This window comes from Homo sapiens, chromosome 10 (genome assembly GCF_000001405.40).
Source record: "Homo sapiens chromosome 10, GRCh38.p14 Primary Assembly".
NCBI lineage: Eukaryota > Metazoa > Chordata > Mammalia > Primates > Hominidae > Homo > Homo sapiens.
Genome location: NC_000010.11, coordinates 8,254,986 through 8,269,337, shown reverse-complemented (window position 1 = coordinate 8,269,337; position 14,352 = coordinate 8,254,986). Strand labels below are relative to the sequence as shown.

Genomic DNA, 14,352 nt, shown 5'->3' with positions numbered 1-14,352 from the left:
TTATATATAATATAAAAATAAATTGTATATAAATATGTACATATTTATATATCATATATAAAATATATTGTATATAAATATGTACATAATTATATATAATATATAAAATACATTATATACAATATATGTAAATATTATATAATATATGAAATATATTATGTATAATATATGTAAATATTATATAATATATAAAATATATTATATATAATATATGTAAATATTATATAATATATAAAATATATTTTATATAATATATGTAAATATTATATATAATATACAAAATATTTTATATAATATATGTAAATATTATATATAATATATGTAAATATTATATATAATATATGTAAATATTTTTATATAATATACAAAATATATTATATATAATATATGTAAATAATATATAAAAATATATAATATATGTAAATATTATATATAATATATAAAATATATTATACATAATATATGTAAATATTTATATATAATATATAAAATATATATAATATATGTAAATATTTATATATAATATATAAAATATATTATACATAATATATGTAAATATTTATATATAATATATAAAATATATTATATATAATATATGTAAATATTTCTATATAATTTATAAAATATATTATATATAATATATGTAAATATTTCTATATAATATATAAAATACATTATATATAATATATGTAAATATTTCTATATAATTTATAAAATATATTATATATAATATATGTAAATATTTATATATAATATATAAAATATGTTATGTATAATATATAAAATATATTATGTATAATATATAAAATATATTATATAATTATAATATATTTAATATATTATATATAAATATTTACATATATTATATATAATATATGTAAATATTTATATATAATATACAAATATCTGTTTGACTGCTTAATCAGTGTCAGGCACTATTCCAGGCAATGAGAATAGAGCATTGATCTAATGACATCAAATATTCTGTCCTCAAGGGGCATCCGTTCAAATAAAAATGCGTCATGATATTGTGTTTTAGAGGATGACAGGTGCTGTGGAGTTGGGAGACTGAGACTGTCAGGAGCGAGGAGGGATGGCTGTAATTTTAAATAGTGGCATCATCAGGATGAACCTTGCTGGTAAATCTCAGGACTCAAGGACCTCTGCTGAGTTCTGCAGCGTCCCCGACACGGGGAGCAGGAGAGAGAGTGGTCCATGGGCTGTTGTCAGCATTAAGAGCTGTTTATTGTTGTTGTCGGTTTTGTTTCAGATGTTCTTGTTCTTGGTTTATTTTGAAGCTTTATTGTATGTGTCATTAAAAGAGACAGAGAAAGAGAACTCAGTCTAAACTTTTCAACTGTTGTTCAATACTTTTTTTTTTTGGAGACAGTCTCGCTCTGTCTGTAGCCTAGGCTGGAGTGCAGTGGTGCAATCTTGGCTCACTGCAACCTCTGCCTCCCGGATTCAAGCGATTCTCATGCCTCAGCCTCCTGAGTAGCTGGGACTACAGGCATGCGCCATCACGCTCGGCTAATTTTTGTGTGTTTAGTAGAGACAGGGTTTTGCTGTGTTGGCCAGGCTGGTCTCGAATTCCTGGGCTCAAGTGATCCGCCTTCCTCGGTCTCCCAGACAGCTGGGATTACAGGCATGAGCCACTGAACACAGCCTTCAATACATATTTTTGATGACAGAAATATGTCTCAACTGGATTACCAAACTTTGCTTCTAAGACTAATGTTATTTGTTCACTCATTCATTTGTTAAATACTTATGGAACACCACCATATATCAAATATTAATGGCAGGCCACAGCTCATCCCTCAGCTGGGCACATATCAAACTACAAATGCTAAGACCTAGGCCAATTCAAAATTTCCCCAATACGGAGATTCTTTGACTTTCCATGGTTTGACTTCAGATTTTTCAACATTACAGTTTTGCAAAATGATACACATCCAGTAGAACCCGTACTGGGAGTATCCATACAACAATTCTGTTTTTCATTTTCAGTACAGTCTTCAATAAATTGCATGAGCTAGTCAACAATTTATTATAAATAAGCTTTGTGTTAGATTATGTTGCCCAACTGTAGGCTAATGTAAGTGTTCTGAGTACGGTTAAGGTAAGCTAAACTATACTGTTTAGTAGGTTACACGTATTCAGTACATTTCCAACTTACAATGAGTTTATCCAGCTATAATCCCATCCTAAGTTGAGAAGCATCTCTATATAGAAAACTTGGTAAGGGCCACCAGAACAATAACCTCAGGGTATTTGCCTCACATTTTCAGAACTAAGGTCATGCACCAAGGATAATTTAGTATTAGATATTTAGTAATTAGATACTATGATTAGATAAATATATAACAATGCAATTATTATTAATAATCTATCTAATTACTAAATATCTAATGATAATACAAGAGTCCAAGGGGACCACTAACATGTACATTTAGAATGCAGTTTCTAAAGAATCGATTCCCTGTGCCATTTCTGAAATTTGGGCAAGTGCAAACTCTTAAACAACTTTATTAAAATAAAAAATGCAGCATTGAAATTTGGGCAAGTGCAAACTCTTATAGCTTTAATAAAATAAAAAATTTGGCATTGACATAAACTTCATTTTTGTCGTTTCCAGAACTGAAGCCCCTTCCATGACACTAAAGTAAGAAGATAATTCTGGTCATTTCATCCAAGCCCTTCAGAGTAGGTTTTATTTTTCAGTCTTTAAGTTCAATGCTTGTAATAATGTACCAAAGCCTTCTGAAGAGAAATCAGCACATTATCACTTAAAGATATCTTCCAATGCTCTTTTCCTCTTTTTTTTCAATCTTTAAAGATCTCTCAGCTTGGGCATTTTATTTGTGCAATGTGGAAATATTTTTATCCAAAGGGGAAAAAGATGTTTTGTCTTGTTTTGTTAAGACATAATAATTGGCAACAGAGAGTAAATCTACCTATACTGACATCTAAATATGCTTTTTGCAGTTGGCAGGTGTTTGGTTCAAACATATATTCAGGACATGACTTATTTTGATATTTGAGGAGCCCTCTTCTCTCCATCCCCTCCGGAAAAAAAAAAAGGTAGATACAGGGAAAATGAGCTTTTCCCTTAAGATGAACAATTTTTGTCTCACTCATTAATTGTAAACCAGTGTCTTGGGTTCTAGAGTGAAAACAAGATTACTAAAACAGATAACATTTTATAATTCCTGATATAGTAGAAGTGGGCGGTGGGGGGAGTCCCCAGGGTAGACATTTAGAGGGAAGAAGGAGAAAAATCAGGAAATAATAGCTGAAAGGAAAAATTTCATTTCAATTAACTTGTAAAATACTCTTTATTTGGTGTGATTTTAGGTGGATTTTACAATCAATTACATTGAGTGAGACACTTAATAAGCACACTGCCGGCCTAAGCTACACACAGACTTTATTACTTGGTTGGTTAAACCTAAACAAATAGATTTATAATGGTTTGTGGACAATTCCCATGCAATAGCTATATTATTAAATCCAAGGCGTTATTAAAGGTTAATTATATTTAAAATTATTGAGATTTAACAATGATGTAATCTATGGAGAAGATATTTATCTTCTCCTGTTTGTACTATAATTACCAAACCTCAATGAATTTCTCTCTTTAATTCTGCCATTCTCCTTGCTAAATAGCCTATCTGATTGAATTCTACGCCTACAACCCAGGATGACTCTTTCTGCGTTAGACCTGGAAAGTCCTTCTTATCCACATCGCTTCTTCTCCATCTTTACTCAAGATCTTGTCAATACCTTCAAAGAGAAGGTTGGCACTTTATGGTGAGAGTTCTCACCCCTCCCTAGCTTCTCTCCTGACCAACCCATCACCTTCACTCCATTCCCTGTCGCTCCCTCAAAGCTGTGAACATCTAAAGCACTAGCTGTATAATTTTATACAATTTTATACAATTTCCATTGAGTGCCTTCTTTAGTGATCTCTGTTATCTTTTTTCCATGCCTCCTTTGTATTTTGCTGTTGGTATTATGCTGCCATTCCTAGCTTTCAGAAGCATTTTTTAAAATCCAATCCTAAATTTACCTTCCCTGGCTCCAATTCATATTTGCAATGTTTCGTCTTTCTTTGGGCTGTACAGACAAGCTCCAAAAATATATTGTGCCTTCATGACTTTCATTTTTCTCCCTTAAAATGGGATCTAGCCTCTACCCTCTGATGCTGAAATTAATATTTCATAATCAAGTCCTTGAGTTACATCTTCTCTTACTATATTTTCCTGCCTTGCAGTGTTGGCTGATATCTTCAGAGATCTATTTCTACATCTCTCTCAGCACTTCATCTTTTTGTGCCTTCTCTCCATTCCCATATAACAATTTTTATTGAACATCTACTACGTGTCAGGCACCGTTCTAGATTCTGAGGCTAGAGGGAAGGACAACATAGTCAGGGTCCCTACCCTTACAGAGCTAGCAAATGGGGAGAGACAGACAACACAAAACACATAAGTAAAATGTTAATAACAGTAAGTAAAATAGCAATAACAGTAAGTAAAGGGTGCAACACATTCCAAGAAGGAAATCGAACCGGGTCTTGTACTAGAAAGTGACCAGAGAGGAGGGAAGCTGCTCCAGATAGACTGTGCAGGGGCGACTTATCTGAGGAAGCGGCCTTTAAAGGCAAGACCCCGATAATGGGAAGGAGTCAGCCATGGGAACTGAAAGCCATGGGAGGCCCTGGAGGAAGAGTATCCCCAAAGTAAGAATGGTAAATTCCAAGTTCCTGTGGCAGGAACAAGCTTAGTGTATTCAAGGAACTAAAGCCAGTATTGCCAGAGTTGAGTGAGCCCCTGGAGGAAGGTGTGCTGTGAAAGCCAAGAGGTAGACAGTGCCAGGCGCGTGCCACCTACAGAGTTCAACGGCACTGCAGCTCTGCCTCTTTATGTTTATTGAGTTCAGCCTTCCCAAGCCTAAACAGGGTCCATCCCAGGTTCAAAGCTGAGTATTTCCAAACTTCAATAAACACATCGCATGTGATATCCAATTCCAGAAAATGAAAATCAAGGCATATTCTTTTTCCTGACATCCACCAACCACTGGAGCAAAACGTCAGTGTCCTTCTCTAGCAGGCACTCATCTGTCTTAGTGTCACAGATGAAAAGCATGGCACCGAGAAGCTGGTCCTTCCATCTCCTCGACCTCAGGGCTTTCAACTGTGTCAGTTTAGTCACCCACCGATATAGGCACAGCTTGGGTCTCTGTCGTCTGAAACCATCCCACTTCCAAGAGACTGATCTCAGAGCACCCCACGTGGAACCAAATCTCCTTCTCTTCCATCCCTTCTTCTGCCTCATAGTCATTGCACCTGCTCTCTGTTCCCTTGGGCTGGTCCCAACTCCTTTGTTTCCTTTTTTTTTTTTAATGAAATTTTGCTCTTGTTGCCCAGACTGGAGTGCAATGGCGCAATCTCGGCTCACTGCAACTTCTGCCTCCTAGGTTCAAGCGATTCTTCTCCCTCAGCCTCCCGAGCAGCTGGGATTACAGGCATGCGCCACCAGGCCTGGCTAATTTTTGTATTCTTAGTAGAGACAGCATATCTCCATGTTGGCAAGGCTGGTCTCGAACTCCCAGCCTCAGGTGATCCAACTGCCTCGGCCTTCCAAAGTGTTGGGATTACAGGCGTGAGCCTTTCTCCCTTTTCTATCATACACCAGTTGTCTCTGGCTGTACTTGTCTGCCCCACTGGCCAGAAAGCTGCTGTCAGCCACAGCTAAGCCTGGAGTTCCTTGCTCCCTTGACTCAACCAAGGCCTCCAAGCCAACCTCCAATTCTTAGTTATCCCACTACCAATTTCTTCAGTCACATGTGCATCTCAAGCCACAAAATTATACTAAAGAAATCTCAGCATGAAGCTCCCGAGCACTGGCTCCGTACATTTTATGTTTGATGAAGGTCTCACTGTTCTTCAGCAAGTCCCCCACAACCAATCTCTTCTAGACTTCCTGTCTTACTCTCACAGACGGACTTTCCTAGCCTTTGCTACTCTCCCTAAATCCCATTTCCTAGCTCAGCTCCACCACATTTTAAAGAATGACTATGCCTCTAACTCGACCTTGGCCGTTTCCCCTCAAAACATCTCTGGCTTCATCTAGATCCTCTCCTCAGTCTAATTTCAGAGGGCTCAGAGTGGGTGGTGGTGTCATTTTTAACTTTTTCTGGCGTGTTGTTATTTATTTAATTATTGCAAAGAACTTCAAGGAGACTGTTCTGTCTTGGCAGTGCCATTAACTTGTTTTTATAACATATTCTCTTTTTTTACTGGTCTGAATTTTATATATATATATATATATATATACACACACACACATACATATATACATATGTATGTGTGTATATACACATAATTTATATATATATATTTATATATTTATATAAAAATTTATATATATTTATATATACTCATGCATATACATATATACATGTATGTGTGTATATATGTATATAATTTCAATATTTATTTTAAATTCAAGGAGTACACATGCAGCTTTGTTATATGGGTTTATTGTATGATGGTGAGCTTTGGGCTATGAATGATTCCACCACCCAGGCAGTGAGCATAGTACCCAGTAGGTAGCTTTTCAGCTTCTGCTGCCTTCCCTCCCTCTCTCCCCGCTCTAGTAGTCTAGTTGTTCCCATCTTTACGTCCATGAGTACCCAATGTTTAGCTCCCACTTATAAGTGAGAACATGTGGTATTTGGTTTTCTGTTCTTGTGTTAATTTGCCTTGGATAATGGCTAAGCTGCATCCATGTTGCTGCAAAGGACATTTCATTCTTCTTTATGGTTGCATAGTATTCCGTGGTGTATATGTACCACATTTTCTTTCTCCAATCCACTGCTGATGGGCACCTGGGTGGATTCCATGTCTCTGCTATTGTGAATAGTGTTGTGATGAACATATGAGTGTCTTTTCAGCAGAACGATTTATTTTCCTTGGGGTATACACCCAGGAATGGGATTGCTGGGTTGAATTGTAGTTGTATTTAAAGTTCTTTGAGAAATTTCCACAGTGCTTTCCACACTGGCTGATCTAACTTCCACTCCCACCAGCAGTGTGTAAGTGCTCCCTTTTCTCTGAAGCCTCGGGCTTAATGTTTTCCAGAAGGTGAGGACTGTGTGTATTTTCTGAATGAGTGAGTCATCTCATCCTTTCTCCACGCAGGCTTGCCCTCACATCCTCGCCAAGACTTAATTCCATCAATACACCCTCTTCTCTCTCTTCTGTCTCATTCACTCCTTCTCTACTCGCTTTTTAATCTATGAAAATGATAAGCTTATTAATATGCACACATTTCCTTCAAAACAGCTTTCTGCTGCAACAATTATGAACCCCTGAACTCTTCCGTCACGTACTGTTCTTTGATGCCCGTCTTCCTGACATGCTCCACTCTTGCTCCCATTGATTCCCTCTTTAACACCACCAGGCCAGCCTCTGCCTTCTAACCTGCAGAAATTTCCCACCCAGTGACCATCTAATGAATAAGCCCTAAAGCCCTGTCTTACTTCTCATCCTTCACAGCTTCCTCGTGGAGTGGGTAACTGTGGAAAGGCTCTGTGGAATTTCAGGGGAGTGGGAAAGAAAGCATGGGATTTAGAGGCAAAACCAGCTCAAATTTGAGTTCCAGCTCTGCTGCTTCATAGACGTGTGATCTTGGCAAAGTCAGTTTCACATCCCCGAGTTTCAGCTTCCTCTCCCATCAACTGTAGGCATCAATACCCGCTTAGGCAGGTTGTTATGGGATGAAAAATAGCATGCGGGAAGCTCCTGGTGAATTCACAGGAGCTACTAGGGTTGCTACAGAAGCCCTTCCTGCCTGATTTGCCAGCAGCTGGTTTCTTCCGTGATTTCCTAAGCAAGCATTTCTAGGTCATCTACTATCTGCCAGGCATTACGTGAGGCTTCTGATCCTTGTGCCCTCCCAGCACTCGGAGATTCTGCACGATTCTTTGTCCTTCCCTATTTCCTCACAGCCTTCTTTCCCTCTCCCATTTCCCAGTGTGCATGTCCTCATCTATTTACCAATATCAAAATTCATACAGAACCCAAATTTTGTAATATAAACTTGAACATCAATACCAAAAGTATCGAAAGAAATACACGAAAATGTTACCATACGTAAATCCTAGTACTGGTCTATGGGTGACTTTTATTTTTTTCTTCATACTTTCCAATGTTTTCTGGGTTTCCTGTCATGCACACTGCTTGTATAATCATAAAATAATGCACATTTTTAAAAGCACACAGAAGATACAAAACTATATGTACATCCAACACTTTGGCACTTCTCATCTGCGGATTTACCGTCTTCACTCTTAAATAACTGAGTGATCTTTCTCTGCAGTTGATTTTCCTTGTGATTCTTCTGGAACTCCGAGGCAACCTGTTTTCCCAAGAACAGGGCACCGAGGTGGTCGCAAGGGTGCGGAGGGAGGATCGCCCCTGTGGGAGAGGCGCGCCGGTCTCTCTCAGGGACCTGTAGCTACACGCAGAAGATGCTGCCAATTGCGCGGAGGTCTCTGACGCTTGGTGCTGAGGACATTGTACTAATTTAAATGGTATCAGAGTGAACACGATGCTACATGTAGAATGAAACTTCCCAAGCCCTCACCTGAAGAGACAAGGCTGAAGTCATAAACATCATACGTGGTTTGTAAATGTATGATTTTGCTTTTAAGCAAAACCTGTGATCGGTTCCAGGGGCCTGGGTCTGGATCTGGTGCAGAATATCTAACCTTTCCAGCAGGCAAAAGCAGAGAAGAGGGGATCGCCATGCATTGGAAATTACTTCCCATTCATGTCATCCAAATCCTCACACACCAAAAAAAATTCCATATTTTTTCAGTAAGATAGAGTGAGCAAGGAAGCAGGAAAAAAAGAGAGATGTGAACTCCTGCCAAAAGTCCAGGGTCCCTGTAAAACATAAAATCCCCAAAGTATGCCAGTTCAGCCACAGCACATCTGGGAATTGTTTGTAGGATAATGACAGTAATAATTATGATGACTTACACTTAATTCACCCTCACAGGGGCGTTGTGAAGATTAATGAGTCAATGTTCATAATATGTTTTTGGTTCCTCGATGAAAGCTCCCGTGAAAGCCCAGATTATTATTATGGTTATTATTGTTTATATTAGACTGTTCCTGTGGAAGGGCCCCCTTCGCGACCTGTCTACTACACTCCCATCATGAAGTTCAGCCACTTCTCTAATGAACAGACCACTGGCTCTAGGAGCCGTCACAGCGGGCGGGACTCCCCCACTTTAAGAAAGCAAAACACAGAAAGAACTGGCAGAATCACTGCCCACAGCAGCCCATGTCCCCACTGTGTCCATAAAACTTGGTTCCCTCCTCCAGCTGAACCATAAGGATGCAAGGAAGAAGGTAGGCAGTGTCAAATGGAAAGTATATTGACAGTGTAAATATCTTCCAAAATAGAGTGTCTGCCCACAAATCCACAGATACGGTCAGAAAATAGGTAGAGAAAGCGCTCAGCTAAATTATAAACGAGGCTTATAGAAGAGCTTTGAATAGTTCAAAATGAAAGACACATAAAGATAATAGATCCGTGGATTGCTATTTAACATTCATTGATTCATTTTGTTTTGTTTTGTTTTGTTTTAGGAAAAGTATTGCAAACCTGCTTCTCTTCTGTGCTGGGGTCTGTACCAATGTTCATTGAACCAAACAAGGTCCCTATCTTACAGAAGATGCTTCTTGAAGGATGGCGTGTTAATCTTCTAAGTATGTTCTGGTTGCGAGGATAGAGCACTGTCACAGCTACAGCTATACCTGTGCAAAGCCAGGAATAACACGCTCCCTAGGAGAGTCTCTAGCCTTAATCTGTAGCTGCAAATAGAAATGACAATTCATTTTCTCAATAATGAAATGTTTTTGGGTAGGGCTAAAAGCAGAATGAACCACCAAAAAGCCCCTTTTGACATGGTGCCTGTGTAAAGACAAACGTGTGTAATGTGTCTGCTTCTTTTAAGGTGCTCAACAAGACCAGGCATGGTGGCTCACGCCTGTAATCCCAGTGCTTTGGGAGGCCAAGGCGGGAGGATCGCTCGAGCCCAGGACTTCAAGACTAGCCTGGACAACATAGCGAGACCCTGTCTGTACAAGAAATTTGAAAATTAGCCTGGTGTATGCTTGTAGTCCCAGCTACTTGGGAGGCTAGTGTGGGAGGATCACTTGAGTCCAGGAAGTTGAGGCTGCAGTGAGCAGTGATCATGCCACATGCACATCAGCCTAGGGGACACAGCAATACCCTCTCTCAAAAAAAAAAAAAAAAAGATGCTCGATAATACATAAATGAACCCAATCACCCCAGAAGAAAAAAAGAAAGTGGAAAACAAAGACTTCCTTCTTCCCTCTGCTCTAGTTATTCATTTATCTCAAATTAAAACTCCCATTCGGTCCTACACCTTAGTTCTAGAGAGTCATGGGATTGTTGGGGATGAAAGAGTTTGGAGAACATCAAGGCCCTGTCTCTGCCTGTCTGTGGCAGAGGCTGCTGGCTGCCTACCCAAGAGCCATTCTCCCTTCTTCCACAGGAACAGAATCTTAATCTTAGCTGAGCACTTTATCACCAGGAAGTAGGTGCACACTTCTCAGTCTCTTTTGCAGCTAGATGTGGTCAAGTAACTCGGTCCCGGCCCAGGAGAGGCTAGCAGGAAAGTGCTGTGGGCACTAACTTAGCTGGCAGGTGCACCCTCATCCTCCTCACTTCTACTTGTATGCCACCTGGCAATCTGATGTGACAGCAGGAACTGCAGGCACTAGGAAGGACCATGAGTTAGCCCTGAGGATGGGAGGCAGGAAAACACCCTCCGATTCCTTGCAAAGATGCCCACACCCAAATCCCTGCAACCTGTAAGTCACACTATGCAGCAAAGAGAAGTCAAGTTTGCAGATGGAATAAATGTTACTAATCAGCCGACCTGAAGATTGGGAGATGACCATGGATTATCCAGGTGAGCCCAAATTGATCACAAGAGTCCTTAAAAAGGGAAGAGTGAGACGGAAAAAAAACCCAGAGAGATGGCAGAGTGAGAAGGACCCCACATGGCTGGCTATGAAGATGGAGAAATGGAGCCACAAGCCAAGGAGTGCAGGCAGCCCTAGAAGCTGCAAAAGGCAAGGAAATGGAAAAGGAAGGCAGAGCCATCAATTGCAGCCCCACAAGAACCATTTCAGAGTCCTGAATTCAGGAACTGGACCACCAGTAAATTTCTGTTGTCTTAGTCCAGTAAATATGTGGTCCTTTGCTATAGCAGTGATAGAAAGCTGCAACACCAGTGCTGAGGTTGGCAGAGCAGAAAGACAAAAGGAGCGTGGGTCCCTGACAATGCGGGAGCTGCCAGACTAGCAGCCCTGGATCACCCAACTCTAGGCTTCTCCTGTGTGAGAGAATAATGCCTGCAGTGTTTAAGATACTGTTATTTGGGGTTTTCTTTTATATGCAACAAAAACACAACTCCTAACTGATGCACAATATTTTAGAGCTATATATGAAAGATAGATAAGAAACTGAGACCCCTAACTGTTGAGTGAGACTGGGCACAGTGGCTCACACCTGTAATCCCAGCACTTTGGGAGGCCAAGGCAAACGGATCGCTTGAGCTGAGGAATTTGGGACCAACCTGGGCAACATGGTGAAACCCCATCTCTATCAAAAATATAAAAAATTAGATGGGTGCGGTGGTGTATGCCTTTCAATCCCAGCTACTCTAGAGGCTACGGTGAGAGGATCTCTTGAACCCAGGAGGTCAAGGATGCAGTAAGCCAAGACTGTGCCACTGCACTGCAGCCTAGGGGACGGAGAAAAAAAGGTTAAGTGATATCTTTCATTCCATTCAACTATTTATTTGGAATGTGAAGTAGAATCCAAGTCTCTGCACCCCTGTTGATGATCTGCCCAGTGGTATACAACAGGGGTTCTCAAGCTTTAGCCTGCACTAGAATCGTCAGGAGGGCTTATGAAAACAGACTGCTGGGCTCTAGTGCTTCTGAGTCAGCAGGTCTGGAAGGGCTCAAGGGATGAAAACACTCTGAAAACACCAGTCTACACTATTGTTGGCCCAACTTCTGATAACTACTTGTCTTCCATTCCCAGATCTGTAACCAAAATCCAGCCTTCATGACCACATAACTTGGAATATCACAGCAGCATCCTAGCCAGCCACCTTGTCTCCAGTCCTGGTTACTGATTTCCCCTGGCCACCCTCTCACCTAATCAGTTTTGCTTTCATGGTGTCATATTTCTGTCCCAAAGTCATAAGAGCTTCCTACTGTTTGTTAAATTAACTCCAAGTCCCTCTGCAGAACATTCAGGCTCTCCACATGTATGCTTTTCTTTTTCCCCTCTTACTGCAAGCCACCACTCCTAGAGTCATCCCCATAAAGAGGAACCAAAGATGTTTTCCTTTTATAACTAAGAAGACTAAGAGCACCCAGAGAGGCTTGATCAGGTCAAAGCCTTTGGCAGATCCAGGCTGGGAACCAATGACCTCTCCAGTCCTCCGTATGCTTGCCAGGACAGTCAAACTCCCTCCCTCAGAAAGCCAGGAACCAGGTCCCTTGCAAGCAGCTCATGGCAGGTTCTGGTTAAGGGAGACGGTGGCGACTCCATGGAAACTCAGAATGAGGTGAGAACATCATGTGCATTTCAACTAATTACTCCAGAAAGGGATGGCAGCCAGGAGGGCCTGGGATTGTTTGTGTGCTGTTATTTGGAATTTTGAAAGACAGGGCAAACTTAGAGGAAATTGGCAGCAATTTCACCCACCTTCAGACAGAATGGCATTCTGTCCCTCCCTAAGCAGCCTGGCAGTTGTGTGGCTGCTGGGCAGCTGTGCTTGTCTTTGTGTGCAAAGAACTGGAGGCCTGGAGCCCAGGAGAGGCTACCTCTCACTAAGGGAGGCAGCTTTAAACTCCCAGAAGGAAGGAAGATTCCACACAGGGCAAAAGGAGTGCTAAATGATCTACCATGTCTGAGCCTGATATATTTTAGGGTCTTTGTTGGTTCCTCTCATCGAAATCAGTCTACAAATAAACACATTATTAGGCCTTTGCCAGATACCTGCACCACTGGGAGCTGTTCTTTAAGAAGGAAAGCTTTTCATCTGCTTACACTGCCTCTTTCTCTTGCTCTATTAAAACAAAAAAAAAATTATTCTATGTCTTTGTCCTCAATCTAGTCTGCTTTCTTCCATTTTTCCTTCCCATTATTTATGCATGTAAATGCTTCCTCATTCTAAAAATGATCTGCTGCAGCTTGGCGTTTCATCCAACCACTGTCTCTTACAGCATCCTGGAGAGAACTGTCCTAGGCTTTCGGTGCTTCCACACATGCAAAACCATAGCATTTCCTTCTGCATGTCCAGGAGGCTGTGCCCTTGATTAATGTCTTCCAACCATTACTTATTGAGTCTCCTATCATTTGTGGATAGCTCTGTCCATCTCTGTCAGAGATCAATCCATGTTTCTCACTAATACCTCCAAGAGCATCCTTTGAACAGCTTCTTGTTAAGGCGAAAAAAAAAAAAATCCTCCCAAAAGGAGCTGTAAGAAATGGCCAGGCTGATAGAGAGAGATTTTCTTCCCATGTTCCTTCTTTAATGACCTTATCAGAATGGTATGGAGAAAAGAGACATGACTGAAAAGTTCAATAGAAATTCAAGCATAGAAAACATTGTATTTCTATTGAGTTGTCTGTCCCTCATGCTCACTGGGGTTTCTTGCCCCTAAACCCTCCATTTCTCCCTTTCTTCACCCAGATACTAGTATTTTTACTTTCTCAGAGTGACTAAGCTTTGTACAATTTGAGTGGGTGGGAGCTGCAACCCTTGCCTTGAGTCATTTTCGTGAACTTTATATTCTCCTACCTGGATTTAATTGTGGGAAGATTACTGGTAGATCTCCATTCAAAAAAAAAGAAGAAAGGAAGAAAGGAAGAAAGAAAGACAGAAAGAAAGAAAGAAAGAAAGAAAGAAGAAAGGAAGGAAGGAAAGAAGAAAGAAACAGAAAGAAAGAAAGAAAGAAAGAAAGAAAGAAAGAAAGAAAGAAAGAAAGAAAGAAAGAAAGAAAGAGAGAGAAAGAAGGAAGGAAAGGAAGGGAGGAGGAGGGGGTAAAGAGAGAGAAACAGTTCTAAACAAGAAAACATACTCTCACCGAGAACTGAAAGGCAGGTACACCCATTACAGCAGTTCTCAGAGAACGCTTCAGCTCTGTAGGTGCGGGGTAGCAAACCCTGAGAGTGATGGTAATTATCACATGGTGATTTAGATTTTCTTTGTATAGGGTGC

General features: G+C 40.1%; 1 long non-coding RNA gene across 1 annotated transcript; it reads left to right on the top strand.

Moving 5' to 3' along the window:
- The first annotated feature begins 1,032 nt into the window (after positions 1–1,032).
- Positions 1,033–10,007, top strand: LINC00708 (long intergenic non-protein coding RNA 708). Its single transcript, NR_108058.1, has 5 exons — positions 1,033–1,139; positions 2,639–2,706; positions 2,989–3,084; positions 8,388–8,692; positions 9,668–10,007. It is a non-coding gene; the product is annotated as a long intergenic non-protein coding RNA 708 (long non-coding RNA).
- The last annotated feature ends 4,345 nt before the right edge of the window (positions 10,008–14,352 follow it).